We start from the raw sequence: 15,702 nt of genomic DNA, 5'->3' as shown, positions 1-15,702 counted from the left end.
TGCACTTTTATTGTTGGCTTCAACTGGCAATTTTTCTCTGTTTATAAACTTACACTCATGGTAGACAACCCTCAAGCCATGGAAAAGTATAAAAAATAAAATTAAAATCAATCATAATCCTTCTACCAAAGAGAAACATTTTGGTGTGTTTTCCTCCATTTCTTTGTAATTTTCCCCTCAGCGTGTACATTTTTTAAACAGTTCATTTATTAAATATATATACACACGCTGTGTGCCATGCACCGCACTCAACAATGGGGTTGTAGCAAGGTAGATATGGCCCCTGCCTCAGAGCAGAGAGAAACAGCAGTTCCAGACCTCGCTGAGTACCATCACGTAAGCAGAATCCAGGTGTTTGAGCCTCAGGACAAAAAGGGTGGAGGGAGAGATGAATGACCACAGGCACTCTGGGTACTTACACTAAGGTTGACCTCAGGCTGGAGAGTAAATTCTGGGTAGGTGGAAAGTGGTGATCTGAAAGCTGAGAGGTCATCAGGGCCAGATGACCGAGGACCTCTTCCACTGTGGCTGGGAGTGGGGACTTCCTTGTAATGGCAGCAGGTGGTCTTGGAAGTGTTTTAAACAAGGGAAGTGACTAGATCTGAGGTCCTTCTGGCTCTTTTGGTCTAATGGATAGAAGGGAGCATGATTGAAGGGAAAGAGACCAGTTCAGAGGCTATTGCAGTCTTCTAGGTCACGAATGGTGTGGCTTGGGCATGGAAGGGGTAGGTGTGGAGTGGCTGGGGGTGGGAGATAAGAGGACAGACCCAAGAAACATCGAGGGAGACTCACAGGTCTTTGGTGCTGGATTGAATCTGGAGTGGAGACGGTGAAGGAGAAGGAGGAAACTGTTCTTATTTCATTGTAGTCCTTCTGTACATATTGTTTTACAACTTTTTTCCTTAAATATATCACGAATACTTCCCCATATTCCTAAGCATCCTCTGTAATATGGTTTATAATAGTTAAGAGTCTGTAATTACATTTAACGTACTATCATTTAGTTAACCAAACCTCTACTGTCAGTCATTGGCTATTTCTAATTCTTCTCTAGAATAGAAGCAAATCTCAGCTCACGCATATAGTCAAATAAAGTGAAATTCCTTGGAAAACCTCTTAAGTCATCCATAAAGTACAGTGTTCTTTGTTTCATATACACACCATGTATACTAAAGTATATGTGTAAAGGTATAATGTGTAGCCTATAATAAAGAAGATACATATGAAATAGCACTTTAGACTACTGCTTAAATGGCTGCTTTCTTTACATGTTTCTGAACACAGGTAGTAGAATTTACATAAGTTAAAGGCACATTTGTGTGACTCCACAGTGCTCTTCACAATACTCCGAGGAGCTCACATGTACTTCTGTGGTTGGCAGATTGTCTCATTAGCCTGGTTCTGTACCCCTCCTGTCCACTCCCTTTTCCGTGTGGTTTTACCATCCTTCAACTCTAGATGGAGTGAACTTCCCTGCTCTGACTTTGGACTTGACCATGTGACTTGCTTTGACCAGGGAAATGTGCCACTTCTGAGCCCAGGCCTTAGGAGAAATCAATGTCTTCCTGCTTGCCTTTGTATCCACTACTTTCACCAGAAGAGCTCCAGAGAGAAGACAGATGGAGCAGACCTGAGCCTGAGCCACAGCAAGGAGCCAAATCCAGCTGGTCCTGTGGCTTGAGGCAGAGCTGCTTAGTGGAGTCTAGCTTAGATAGCCAATCCCCAGCTGATCCAAAGATGTGTGGGTGAGCATAAATAATTGTTGTAACCTACCATCTGAGTTTGATTCGTTACACAGCAATAGCTGACCAATACAGTGGGCATTTCAATTAGTTTTTTTTGTTTGTTTCAAAAAGCTTGGGTTCCATCTTGCCATATTGCCCCTTTCCCTCACTGAAAATCCATCTCTATTTCTATTTCCAGTGGATACTGGGGCCTGTTTTCTTCCTGTCTCATCAACATCAAGGATTTTTTTTAAATTGCCAATTTAACATGCAAATAAGTGTTCTCTTTTTTTTTGCATTTCTTTTATTATAAGTGAGGATAAACATTTAAAAATATGTTTACTAGCCTATAGTCTCTCTTTTTGTGAGTTTTTGGTTTATATTCCTAGGACTTGGCCTTATTCACTTCTGATTACCCTGCCACAAAGGGGAACTGAAGAGTGTTTAAACAAATTCCTTGAAGTCGGCTTTATCACCTGGCTAATCCCACAGACTTACAACAACCCCATCAGGTGAGTGCTATTTGTGTACAATTTTAATAATAAAGATTCCTATATACTGTCTGATTCATTTTGCAACAATGCATGTTTTCTGAATGCCTCTTGAATCTAGCGTGGTGCAAGCAAAAATGTATTTAAAACTGAAAGACCAGAAGATGAGTTTTAAAGACCAAAGGAAAATCATTTTATTTCTCTCAGCCTCAGTTTTTACATTTGTGAAATGGAGATAATAATGGAATTTTTCATTCAATGTTGCTGAGAGGAATATAAACGATCATGGGTATTCAGTGCAAAAATACAATGCATCTAGCATCTAGCATGCTACAAACCACATAGTAAGTAAGTCTTAGATTCTCACTGAACTTTCCTTCTTTACATGGGTGGGCTATATGGATAAAGAGAAACGAAATATTTATCTGAAGTGAGAGCAATCAAAAAGATTTTCTAAAGGAGGCACAATTTGTCCTGGGACTTAAAGAGTGTGGAGAATTCTGGAGTAGTGGAAGGAAGAAGGGAAGATATGCTGGGTGGAGACGTGGTAAGAATGAGGCTTGGTATCAGAAGCTATTCTAATCAAGCTACGGTTATTCAGTCCCCAGTATGTGCCAAGAGCACAGCAGTCACTCCAGATGGCAGTATTTTCATTATCATTATTCCCACCTTACAGATGACAAACAGAAATTCAGAGAGGCTTTGTGGCATCCTCAAAGCCACACAGCTGGTCATTAGTGCTGGGATCCGAATCTGATCTCAACTCCCACTCTCTTTTCAGCAAACCACCTAGCAGCCAGGGATTCTCTGAATCTCTCTAGTGCTTCTGAATCTCTGGCCTCTAGAGAGAACCTGCCATCGGGCCACAGAGAGCATGGGAGCCTCCAGCCTTTCGGCGGCACCTTCAGGACTCCCTTCCACTCCTTAGTCAAGGCTGTGCATTTGGGGCAGCACCCGGCCAGGGACAAAGCAGGGCAGGGCAGGGCACTAGGATCTGCAACTCCTGCCCACCGAGGACCCCTCTGAGAGGCCATCCTTGCTCTGGGTCTCCTTGTCAATGTGGCCAAGTCGGGGGCATGTCTGCATTACAGTCTGAGGTTCTCCTGCTCATCCTGCTCCCTCCATGTTTTCCCTTTCACAGATGCTACCCCCAATATTTCTCTTGCACTCCTCACTTCATCACTGTCGGCTTCTGGAGGAGCCACAGACTCACTATCCTAGACCTCCCAAGCCTGGTGCTGATGGGAGGGCCTGAGAAGACCCATCCGCCATGTGCAGAGGGCTCAGTGGGGCCAATGTTGGGGTGGGGTGAGCTGGGAAGGGCCTTAAAGGATGACTACAACAAAGGCTGAGTGCCCACTGTGTGCCAGACACCATTTTAAATGCTGTCTTTTTGCTTATTATTTCAATGAATCCTCACAAGAACTCTACGAGGAAGAAACTGTTACTATTTATTTTACAGGGACGGAAACTGGGCCTGGAGAGGCTTGATGCCTTTCTTGTGCAGGTGACAGAGCCATTGCACAGCAGCACTGGGACCCTAACCTGTGCCATTGGAGTCCAGAACTTTTGTTCTCAGCCACACCACTATGATCTGCTGCTGGGAAGTGCCCTGCGGGGTGCCCTGCTAGGTGGGGGAGTGGCAGGAGGGCTTGTGCACAGGGTTTTTTTTGAGAGGCCTACCATCTCTGTCCTGCCCAGCCAGTCTGCCCAGAGCTGCAGGCCGCAGCCAGGAATGGAGCATAGGAGGGAAAACACATTTCAAGTGGACAGTGCAGCCACGTCTCCTGCCACAGAGTCATGTGGAGGCCATGCCTCACATTCAGTGGCCCCAGATGACGCTGTAGTGCTGATTTTACCCAGTTGCTCATCACCCACAAAACCAGTGTCCTGACACACAGCAGTCATGTGCATGCGGCAGCCCCTGTGGATCTGCAAGAGAAATCTCTTCAGCTTAGCACAGCCTGAGAGCTTATGGGAGGAGTCACCTGGCAGAGATGCCGGCAGCAGCAACCCTCCTTTCTCTCAATCTTATTGGTGCCAGACAGACCTGGGTTTGAATCCCAGCTCTGCCCTTCCTAGCTGTGTGTCCTCTGTAAACTAATTTTTATCAGTTGCTGCATAACAAGCCACCCCCAAACCTAGTGGTGGTAAGCCACAGCCATTTGTGATTTCTCAAGAGTTTGTGGGTTGGTTGGGCAGGTAGTTCTTCTGCTGTGGGCTGGGCTTGACCAGCTCGGCTGGGCTTACTAATACAGCTGTGGTTAGCTGTAAGCCGGCTGATGAACAATGACCTCAGCTGGGGCAACTGGGCCCCCTCCACCTGCTCACTCCCCCGCTAATGGGCCAGCCAGTCTTGTTTTCATAACGTAGCTTGGATTCCAAGAGACAGCAAGCGAGTGCAAGGTCCCTTGAGGCCCAGGCTTGGAACTGCTTCCCAGCACTTCTGCCACTTTCTGTTAGCCAAAGCAAGTCTTGAGACAAGCCCAGAGTCAAGGTGTGGGAAGCAGACCTTGCTTCTGGGGAAAGGAGCTGCAGTTACATTGTTAGTGCCATGAATATAAGCTGGGCAAAGCACAGCCAGCATACTGCATTGCTTCCCCACTCTGAGGCTGGGTTTGCTCATTTATAAAATGGGAATAATATTATTTATATTATGTGATGCCCTAGTGTAAGGGAAATGCCTGCACTTTAGTCAGGAATAGGCCAAGGCAGCCTGCCGGTGCAGCATGACTCAGTGGGTTTGGAGTGCAGGTGCACCACTCCAAACATTATGTAACCATGCCATGTGAGGCACATTATGTAACCACTGACACGTGCTCATGTGAGGCTTGGAGCCACTGTTGTCTGTAAAAGGTATAACTACCTTGCAGACACTGTACATACAGCTTGCACTCGTGGCTTGCTTGTGCCCATGGCTCACTTGTGCCCACAGCTCACTTGTGCCCACAGCTGGCTTGTGTCCAGAGAGAGAATAAAGCCATGTCGAAACTCCCTACGATTCCTCGAGTGTTCTTCCAGTTACCTGCCACTTGCCCACTGATTCCCCTCAGACCTCAGTCAAAACCTGACACCTGAGGCATGGAGCCAAAATGGCCAAATAGGAACAGCTCCAGTCTACAGCTCCCAGCATGAGTGACGCAGAAGACGAATGATTTCTGCATTTCCAACTGAGGTACAGGGTTCATCTCACTGGGGATTGTCAGACAGTGGGTGCGGGACCGTGGGTACAGCAGCACACTGAGCGTGAGCTGAAGCAGGGCAAGGCATCACCTCACCCAGGAAGTGCAAGGGGTCAGGGAGTTCCCTTTCCTAGCCAAGGAAAGGGGTGACAGATGGCACCTGGAAAATCGGGTCACTCCCACCCTAACACTGCGCTTTTTCAATGGTCTTAGCAAATGGCACACCAGGAGATTATATCCTGCGCATGGCTCAGAGGGTCCTATGCCCACAGAGCCTTGCTCATTGCTAGCACAGCAGTCTAGCTGAGATCAAACTGCAAGGCGGCAGTGAGGCTGGGGGAGGGGCACCTGCCATTGCCAAGGCTTGAGTAGGTAAACAAAGCATCTGGGAAGCTTGAACTGGGTGGAGCCCACCCCAGCTCAAGGAGGCCTGCCTGCCTCTGTAGACTCCACCTCTAGGGGCAGGGCATAGCCAAACAAAAGGCAGCAGAAACCTCTGCAGACTTTAATGTCCCTGTCTGACAGCTTTGAAGAGAGTAGTGGTTCTCCCAGCGTGCAGCTTGAGATCTGAGAACAGAGAGACTGCCTCCTCAAGTTGGTCCCTGACCCCCGACTAGCCTAACTGGGAGGCACCCCCCATTAGGGGTAAACTGACACCTCACAGAGCCGGGTACTCCTCTGAGACAAAACTTCCAGAGGAACGATCAGGCAGCAACATTTGCTGTTCACCAATATCTGCTGTTCTGCAGTCTCTGCTGCTGATACCCAGGCAAACAGGGTCTGGAGTGGACCTCTGGCAAATTCCAACAGACCTGCAGCTGAGGGTCCTGACTGTTAGAAGGAAAACTAACAAACAGAAAGGACATCTACACCAAAACCCCATCTGTACGTCACCATCATCAAAGACCAAAGGTAGATAAAACCACAAAGATGGGAAAAAAACAGAGCAGAAAAACTGGAAACTCTAAAAACCAGAGCACCTCTCCTCCTCCAAAGGAACGCAGCTTCTCACCAGCAATGGAACAAAGCTGGACGGAGAATGACTTTCATAAGTTGAGAGAAGAAGTCTTCAGACAATCAAACTACTCCGAGCTAAAGGAGGAAGTTCGAACCCACGGCAAAGAAGTTAAAAACCTTGAGAAAAGATTAGACGAATGGCTAACTAGAATAATCAATGAGAGAAGTCCTTAAAGGACCTGATGGAGCTGAAAACCATGGCATGAGAACTACATGATGAATGCACAAGCCTCAGTAGCCGATTCGATCAACTGGAAGAAAGGGTATCAGTGATGGAAGATCAAATGAATGAAATGAAGTGAGAAGAGAAGTTTAGAGAAAAAAGAATAAAAAGAAATGAACAAGGCCTCCAAGAAATATGGGACTATGTGAAAAGACCAAATCTACATCTGATTGGTGTACCTGAAAGTGAAGGGGAGAATGGAACAAAGTTGGAAAACACTCTGCAGGATATTATCCAGGAGAACTTCCCCAATCTAGCAAGGCAGGCCAACATTCAAATTCAGGAAATACAAAGAACGCCATAAAGATACTCCTCTAGAAGAGCAACTCCAAGACACATAATTGTCAGATTCACCAAAGTTGAAATGAAGGAAAAAATGTTAAGGGCAGCCAGAGAGAAAGGTTGGGTTACCCACGAAGGGAAGCCCATCAGACTAACAGCTGATCTCTGGGCAGAAACTCTACAAGCCAGAAGAGAGTGGGGGGCCAATATTCAACATTCTTAAAGAAAAGAATTTTCAACCCAGAATTTCATATCCAGCCAAACTTAGCCTTGTAAGTGAAGGAGAAAAAAAATACTTTACAGACAAGCAAATGCTGAGAGATTTTGTCACCACTAGGCCTGCCCTAAAAGAGCTCCTGAAGGAAGCACTAAACATGCAGAGGAACAACCAGTACCAGCCACTGCAAAAACATGCCAAATTGTAAAGACCATCAAGACTAGGAAGAAACTGCATCGACTAATGAGCAGAATAACCAGCTAACATCATAATGACAGGATCAGATTCACACATAACAATATTAACCTTAAATGTAAATGGGCTAAATGCTCCAATTAAAAGACACAGACTGGCAAATTGGATAAAGAGTCAAGACCCATCAGTGTGCTGTATTCAGGAAACCCATCTCACTTGCAGAGACACACATAGGCTCAAAATAAAGGGATGGAGGAAGATCTACCAAGCAAATGGAAAACAAAGTGGCAGGGGTTGCAGTCCTAGTCTCTGATAAAACGACTTTAAACCAACAAAGATCAAAAGAGACAAAGAAGGCCATTACATAATGGTAAAGGGATCAATTCAATGAGAAGAGCTAACTATCCTAAATATATATGCACCCAATACAGGAGCACCCAGATTCATAAAGCAAGCCCTTAGAGACCTACAAAGAGACTTAGACTCCCACACAATAATAATGGGAGACTTTAACACCCCACTGTCAATATTAGACAGATCAATGAGACAGAAAGTCAACAAGGATATCCAGGAATTGAACTCAGCTCTGCACCAAGCAGACCTAATAGACATCTATAGAACTCTCCACCCCAAATCAACAGAATATACATTCTTTTCAGCACCACACCACACCTATTCCAAAACTGACCACATAGTTGGGAGTAAAGCACTCCTCAGCAAATGTGAAAGAACAGAAATTATAACAAACTGTTTCTCAGACCACAGTGCAATCAAACTAGAACTCAGGATTAAGAAACTCACTCAAAACCCCTCAACTCCCATTTTGTAGGTTGCCTGTTCACTCTGATGGTAGTTTCTTTTGCTGTGCAGAAGCTCTTTAGTTTAATTAGATCCCATTTGTCAATTTTGGCTTTTGTTGCCATTGCTTTTGGTGTTTTAGACATGAAGTCCTTGCCCATGCCTATGTCCTGAATGGTAATGCCTAGGTTTTCTTCTAGGGTTTTTATGGTTTTAGGTCTAACGTTTAAGTCTTTAATCCATCTTGAATTGATTTTTGTATAAGGTGTAAGGAAGGGATCCAGTTTCAGCTTTCTACATATGGCTAGCCAGTTTTCCCAGCACCATTTATTAAATAGGGAATCCTTTCCCCATTGCTTGTTTTTCTCAGGTTTGTCAAAGATCAGATAATTGTAGATATGCGGCATTATTTCTGAGGGCTCTGTTCTGTTCCATTGATCTATATCTCTGTTTTGGTACCAGTACCATGCTGTTTTGGTTACTGTAGCCTTGCAGTATAGTTTGAAGTCAGGTAGTGTGATGCCTCCATCTTTGTTCTTTTGGCTTAGGATTGACTTGACAATGCGGGCTCTTTTTTGGTTCCACATGAACTTTAAAGTAGTTTTTCCCAATTCTGTGAAGAAAGTCATTGGTAGCTTGATGGGGATGGCATTGAATCTGTAAATTACCTTAGGCAGTATGGCCATTTTCACGATATTGATTCTTCCTACCCATGAGCATGGAATGTTCTTCCATTTGTTTGTATCCTCTTTTATTTCCTTGAGCAGTGGTTTGTAGTTCTCCTTGAAGAGGTCCTTCACATCCCTTGTAAGTTGGATTCCTAGGCATTTTATTCTCTTTGAAGCAATTGTGAATGGGAGTTCACTCATGATTTGGCTCTCTGTTTGTCTGTTGTTGTTGTATAAGAATGCTTGTGATTTTTGTACATTGATTTTGTATCCTGAGACTTTGCTGAAGTTGCTTATCAGCTTGAGGAGATTTTGAGCTGAGACAATGGGGTTTTCTAGATATACAATCATGTCGTCTGCAAACAGGGACAATTTGACTTCCTCTTTTCCTAATTGAATACCCTTTATTTCCTTCTCCTGCCTAATTGCCCTGGCCAGAATTTCCAACACTATGTTGAATAGGAGTGGTGAGAGAGGGCATCCCTGTCTTGTGCCAGTTTTCAAAGGGAATGCTTCCAGTTTTTGCCCATTCAGTATGATATTGGCTGTGGGTTAGTCATAGATAGCTCTTATTATTTTGAAATACGTCCCATCAATACCTAATTTATTGAGAGTTTTTAGCAAGAAGGGTTGTTGAATTTTGTCAAAGGCTTTTTCTGCATCTATTGAGACAATCCTGTGGTTTTTGTCTTTGGCTCTGTTTATGTGCTGGATTACATTTATTGATTTGTGTATATTGAACCAGCCTTGCATCCCAGGGATGAAGCCCCCTTGATCATGGTGGATAAGCTTTTTGATGTGCTGCTGGATTTGTTTTGCCAGTATTTTACTGAGGATTTTTGCATCAATGTTCATCAAGGATATTGGTCTAAAATTCTCTTTTTTTATTGTGTCTCTGCCTGGCTTTGGTATCAGAATGATGCTGGCCTCATAAAATGAGTTAGGGAGGATTCCCTCTTTTTCTATTGATTGGAATAGTTTCAGAAGGAATGGTACCAGTTCCTCCTTGTACCTCTGGTAGAATTCGGCTGTGAATCCATCTGGTCCTGGACTCTTTCTGGTTGGTAAGCTATTGATTATTGCCACAATTTCAGCTCCTGTTATTGGTCTATTCAGAGATTCAACTTCTTCCTGGTTTAGTCTTGGGAGAGTGTATGTGTCCAGGAATTTATCCATTTCTTCTAGATTTTCTAGTTTATTTGCGTAGAGGTGTTTGTAGTATTCTCTGATGGTAGTTTGTATTTCTGTGGGATCGGTGGTGATATCCCCTTTATCATTTTTTATTGCGTCTATTTGATTCTTCTCTCTTTTTTTCTTTATTAGTCTTGCTAGCGGTCTATCAATTTTGTTGATCCTTTCAAAAAAACCAGCTCCTGGATTCATTAATTTTTTGAAGGGTTTTTGTGTCTCTATTTCCTTAAAGGGCTAATACCCAGAATCTACAATGAACTCAAACAAATTTACAAGAAAAAAACAAACAACCCCATCAAAAAGTGGGCAAAGGACATGAACAGACACTTCTCAAAAGAAGACATTTATGCAGCCAAAAAACACATGAAAAAATGCTCATCATCACTGGCCATCAGAGAAATGCAAATCAAAACCACAGTGAGATACCATCTCACACCAGTTAGAATGGCAATCATTAAAAAGTCAGGAAACAACAGGTGCCGGAGAGGATGTGGAGAAGCAGGAACACTTTTACACTGTTGATGGGACTGTAAACTAGTTCAACCATTGTGGAAGTCAGTGTGGCAATTCCTCAGGGATCTAGAACTGGAAATACCATTTGACCCAGCCATCCCATTACTGGGTATATACCCAAAGGATTATAAATCATGCTGCTATAAAGACACATGCACACGTATGTTTAGTGCGGCATTATTCACAATAGCAAAGACTTGGAACCAACCCAAATGTCCAACAATGATAGACTGGGTTAAGAAAATGTGGCACATATACACCATGGAATACTATGCAGCCATAAAAAATGATTAGTTCATGTCCTTTGTAGGGACGTGGATGAAATTGGAAATCATCATTCTCAGTAAACTATCTCAAGAACAAAAAACCAAACACCACATATTCTCACTCATAGGTGGGAATTGAACAATGAGATCACATGGACACAGGAAGGGGAATATCACACTCTGGGACTGTTGTGGGGTGCGGGAAGGGGGGAGGGATAGCATCGGGAGATATACCTAATGCTAGATGACGAGTTAATGGGTGCAGCGCACGAGCATGGCCCATGTATACATATGTAACTAACCTGCACAATGTGCACATGTACCCTAAAACTTAAAGTATAATTAACAAAAAAAAAAAACCCTCAACTACATGGAAACTGAACAACCTGCTCCTGAATGACTACTGGGTACATAACAAAATGAAGGCAGAAATAAAGATGTTCTTTGAAACCAATAAGAACAAAGACACAACATACCAGAATCTCTGGGACACATTCAAAGCAGTGTGTAGAGGGAAATTTGTAGCACTAAATGCCCACAAGAGAAAACAGGAAAGATCTAAAACTGACACCCTAACATCACAATTAAAAGAACTAAAGAAGCAAGAGCAAACACATTCAAAAGCCAGCAGAAGGCAAGAAATAACTAAGATCAGAGCAGAACTGAAGGAAATAGAGACACAAAAAGCCCTTCAAAAAATCAATGAATCCAGGAGCTGGTTTTTTGAAAAGATTAACAAAATTGATAGACTGCTAGTAAGACTAGTAAAGAAGAAAAGAGAGAAGAATCAAATAGATGCAATAAAAAGTGATAAAGGGGATATCACCACCGATCCCACAGAAATACAAACTACCATTAGAGAATACTATAAACACCTCTATACAAATAAACTAGAAAATCTAGAAGAAATGGATAAATTCCTGGACACATACACCCTCCCAAGACTAAACCAGGAAGAAGTTGAATCTCTGAATAGTCCAATAACAGGCTCTGAATTTGAGGCAATAATTAATAGCTTACCAACCAAAAAAAGTCCAGGACCAGATGGATTCACAGCTGAATTCTACCAGAGGTACAAGGAGGAGCTGGTACCATTCCTTCTGAAACTATTCCAATCAATAGAAAAAGAGGGAATCCTCCCTAACTCATTTTATGAGGCCATCGTCATCCTGATAACAAAGCCTGGCAGAGACACAACAAAAAAAGAGAATTTTAGACCAATATCCCTGATGAACATTGATGCAAAAATCCTCAGTAAAATACTGGCAAACCGAATCCAGCAGCACATCAAAAAGCTTATCCACCATGATGAAGTGGGCTTCATCCCTGGGATGCAAGGCTGGTTCAACATATGCAAATCAATTAACGTAATCCAGCATATAAACAGAACCAATGACAAAAACCACACGATTATCTCAATATCTCAATAGATGCAGAAAAGGCCTTCGACAAAATTCAAGAACCCCTCATGGTAAAAACTCTCGATAAATTAGGTATCAATGGGATGTATCTCAAAATAATAAGAGCTATCTATGACAAACCCACAGCCAATATCATACTGAATGGGCAAAAACTGGAAGCATTCCCTTTGAAAACTGGCACAAGACAGGGTTGCCCTCTCTCACCACTCCTATTCAACATAGTGTTGGAAATTCTGGCCAGGTCAATCAGGCAGGTGAAGGAAATAAAGGGTATTCAAATAGGAAAAGAGGAAGTCAAATTGTCCCTGTTTGCAGACGACATGATTGTATATCTAGAAAACCCCATTGTCTCAGCCCAAAATCTCCTTAAGCTGATAAGCAACTTCAGCAAAGTCTCAGGATAAAAAATCAATGTACAAAAATCACAAGCATTCTTATACACCAATAACAAACAAACAGAGAGCCAAATCATGAGTGAACTCCCATTCAGAATTGCTTCAAAGAGAATAAAATACCTAGGAATCCAACTTACAAGGGATGTGAAGGACCTCTTCAAGGAGAACTACAAACCACTGCTCAAGGAAATAAAAGAGGATACAAACAAATGGAAGAACATTCCATGCTCATGGTTAGGAAGAATCAATATCATGAAAATAGCCATACTGCCCAAGGTAATTTATAGATTCAATGCCATCCCCATCAAGCTACCAATGACTTTCTTCACAGAATTGGGAAAAACTACTTTAAAGTTCATGTGGAACCAAAAAAGAGCCCGCATTGTCAAGTCAATCCTAAGCCAAAAGAACAAAGTTGGAGGCATCACGCTACCTGACTTCAAACTATACTGCAAGGCTACAGTAACCAAAACAGCATGGTACTGGTACCAAAACAGAGATATAGACCAATGGAACAGAACAGAGCCCTCAGAAATAATGCTGCGTATCTACAACTATCTGATCTTTGACAAACCTGAGAAAAACAAGCAATGGGGAAAGGATTCTCTATTAATAAATTTTGCTGGGAAAACTGGCTAGCCATATGTAGAAAGCTGAAACTGGATCCCTTCTTTATACCTTATACAAAAATCAATTCAAGATGGATTAAAGACTTAAACGTTAGACCTAAAACCATAAAAACCCTAGAAGAAAACCTAGGCAATACCATTCAGGACATAGGCATGGGCAAGGACTTCATGTCTAAAACACCAAAAGCAACGGCAACAAAAGCCAAAATTGACAAATGGCATCTAATTAAACTAAAGAGCTTCTGCACAGCAAAAGAAACTACCATCATAGTGAACTGGCAAGCTACAGAATGGGAGAAAATTTCTGCAATCTAACCATCTGACAAAGGGCTAGTATCCAGAATCTACAATGAACTCAAATTTACAAGAAAAAAACAAACAACCCCATCAAAAAGTAGGTAAAGGATATGAACAGACACTTCTCAAAAGAAGACATTTATGCAGCCAAAAGACACATGAAAAAATGCTCATCATCACTGGCCATCAGAGAAATGCAAATCAAAACCACAGTGAGATACTATCTCACACCAGTTAGAATGGCGATCATTAAAAAGTCAGGAAACAACAGGTGCTGGAGAGGATGTGGAGAATTAGGAACACTTTTACACTGTTGGTGGGACTGTAAACTAGTTCAACCATTGTGGAAGTCAGTGTGGTGATTCCTCAGGGATCTAGAACTAGAAATACCATTTGACCCAGCCATCCCATTACTGGGTATATACCCAAAGGATTATAAATCATGCTGCTATAAAGACACATGCACACATATGTTTATTGTGGCATTATTCACAACAGCAAAGACTTGGAACCAACCCAAATGTGCAACAACAATAGACTGGATTAAGAAAATGTGGCACATATACACCATGGAATACTACACATCCATAAAAAAGGATGAGTTCATGTCCTTTGTAGGGACATGGATGAAGCTGGAAACCATCATTCTCAGCAAACTATTGCAAGGACAAAAAACCAAACACCACATGTCCTCACTCATATGTGGGAATTGAACAATGAGAACACATGGACACAGGAAGGGGAACATCACACACCAGGGGCTGTTGTGGGGTGGGGGGAGGGGGGAGGGATAGCATTAGGAGATATACCTAATGCTAAATGATGAGTTAATGGGTGCAGCACACCAACATGGCACATGTATACATATGTAACAAACCTGCACGTTGTGCACATGTACCCTAAAACTTAAAAAAAAAAACAAGCTGATACCTAGTGTTCTTTGTTCTTTCAGTAGATGGTTAGTGAGTTGTTGCCACAAGAAGGGACACAGGAGAGGCTCAGGAAAACGAAGCCTTTTATACCTACAGGTCCTAGAGTGACAGTCACTGCATGCCAAGAAGGGGTCACATCCTCCCCACCCTTTAAGGTCCAGTTCAAATTGTGCTTTCTTCAGAAAACTTTTTTGATTACTGTCACTCCAGATAAATATTTCCATTCTGTAAATCCCACCCATGTATGGAAGGAAAGATCAATGAGACTCTAAGACTGATTTCAGGCTTACTATGTGGTTTGCAACATGGAGAGTGGGCTTAGCCCAGCAGGCAGGGCGCTGAGAGAGAGCAAGGACCGGTTGGGCAGGTGGAGTCAGGGTGGAGCACACAGCATAGGGCATGAAGAGAGTTCATGTGTGTGCTGGAATGTTACCAGGTCACTGTCAGGGGAGGACAAAAAGGGGGATAGAGAGCTCACCATGAGAGATGTTATGTCTGAATGACTGAAGAGATGGTCAAGACTAAGGTTGACCATAGGTGACCTTCACCTTCTGCCTCACCACCTCCAACCTCTCCTTCCCCTGGCTACGGACATGAGAGAATTCAATGAAATGTTGTGGTGCATGGAGTGGGCACATCAATGGGGATGGGAGGTATGAACACAGTGACACTCAGCCACAGCCAATGATGTTGAGCTTTATTAATGGCCCCTCTCCAGAGGCTGCTCAGTTGTCCCCAGGGAACTCCTCAGAGATCCTCTGCCTTCCCACATATGAGCCCGAGGACACCTCGGGAGCAGAGAAGTGAAAGGGTTTCCGGGTCAGACGCTGCACTCCACGCCTGCGTCCTCCTCGTGGCTGCAGTCATGATGGCCCCAGCTATTCTTGGTGCAGCTCCACAGGGTACTCTCCGTGCCCCGACACTGAACATTATCCAGCCAGATCTGCCCAGTGCCTTGATAGAGAGAAAGCAAGAGACAGAGGAAGAAGGGTAGGATTAGAGTCAAAGCAAAGAAGCCACGTGTGCGCCTGGGAGCTTCCATCTGAGGTGGACTGCCGACTTCTCACTCATTCTGGCCCATTCCGGCCCAATGTGCTGATGGCTGGCTTAGCCTGTTTTTGTTGTTGTTGTTGTTGTTGTTGTTGTTTTTATAATGACTTTGCCTCCGTTCTATTCTCTACCCTTTGACAAAAGTCTCATGCAAATCTTTAATGCTTAAACCCCACACTATTTGAAATATCTTCCTAGGCGGGTGTCCTTT

The 15,702-nt window shown here is 43.3% G+C and overlaps 1 protein-coding gene across 3 annotated transcripts in view; it reads right to left on the bottom strand.

Annotated features, from left to right (window-relative positions):
- Positions 1 to 15,121: 15,121 nt before the first annotated feature.
- Positions 15,122 to 15,702, bottom strand: part of MARCO (macrophage receptor with collagenous structure) — a 52,467-nt gene continuing 51,886 nt past the window's right edge. For all 3 annotated transcript variants that reach the window (NM_006770.4, XM_011512082.3, XM_011512083.4), the window contains one exon: positions 15,122 to 15,395. In NM_006770.4, the coding sequence (NP_006761.1) occupies positions 15,262 to 15,395 (134 nt within the window). In that variant the 3' untranslated portion in view covers positions 15,122 to 15,261. The remainder of the gene's footprint in view (positions 15,396 to 15,702) is intronic.

Source organism: Homo sapiens, chromosome 2 (genome assembly GCF_000001405.40).
Source record: "Homo sapiens chromosome 2, GRCh38.p14 Primary Assembly".
Classification (NCBI taxonomy): Eukaryota; Metazoa; Chordata; class Mammalia; order Primates; family Hominidae; genus Homo; species Homo sapiens.
This window is presented reverse-complemented; position numbering and strand designations above follow the sequence as displayed.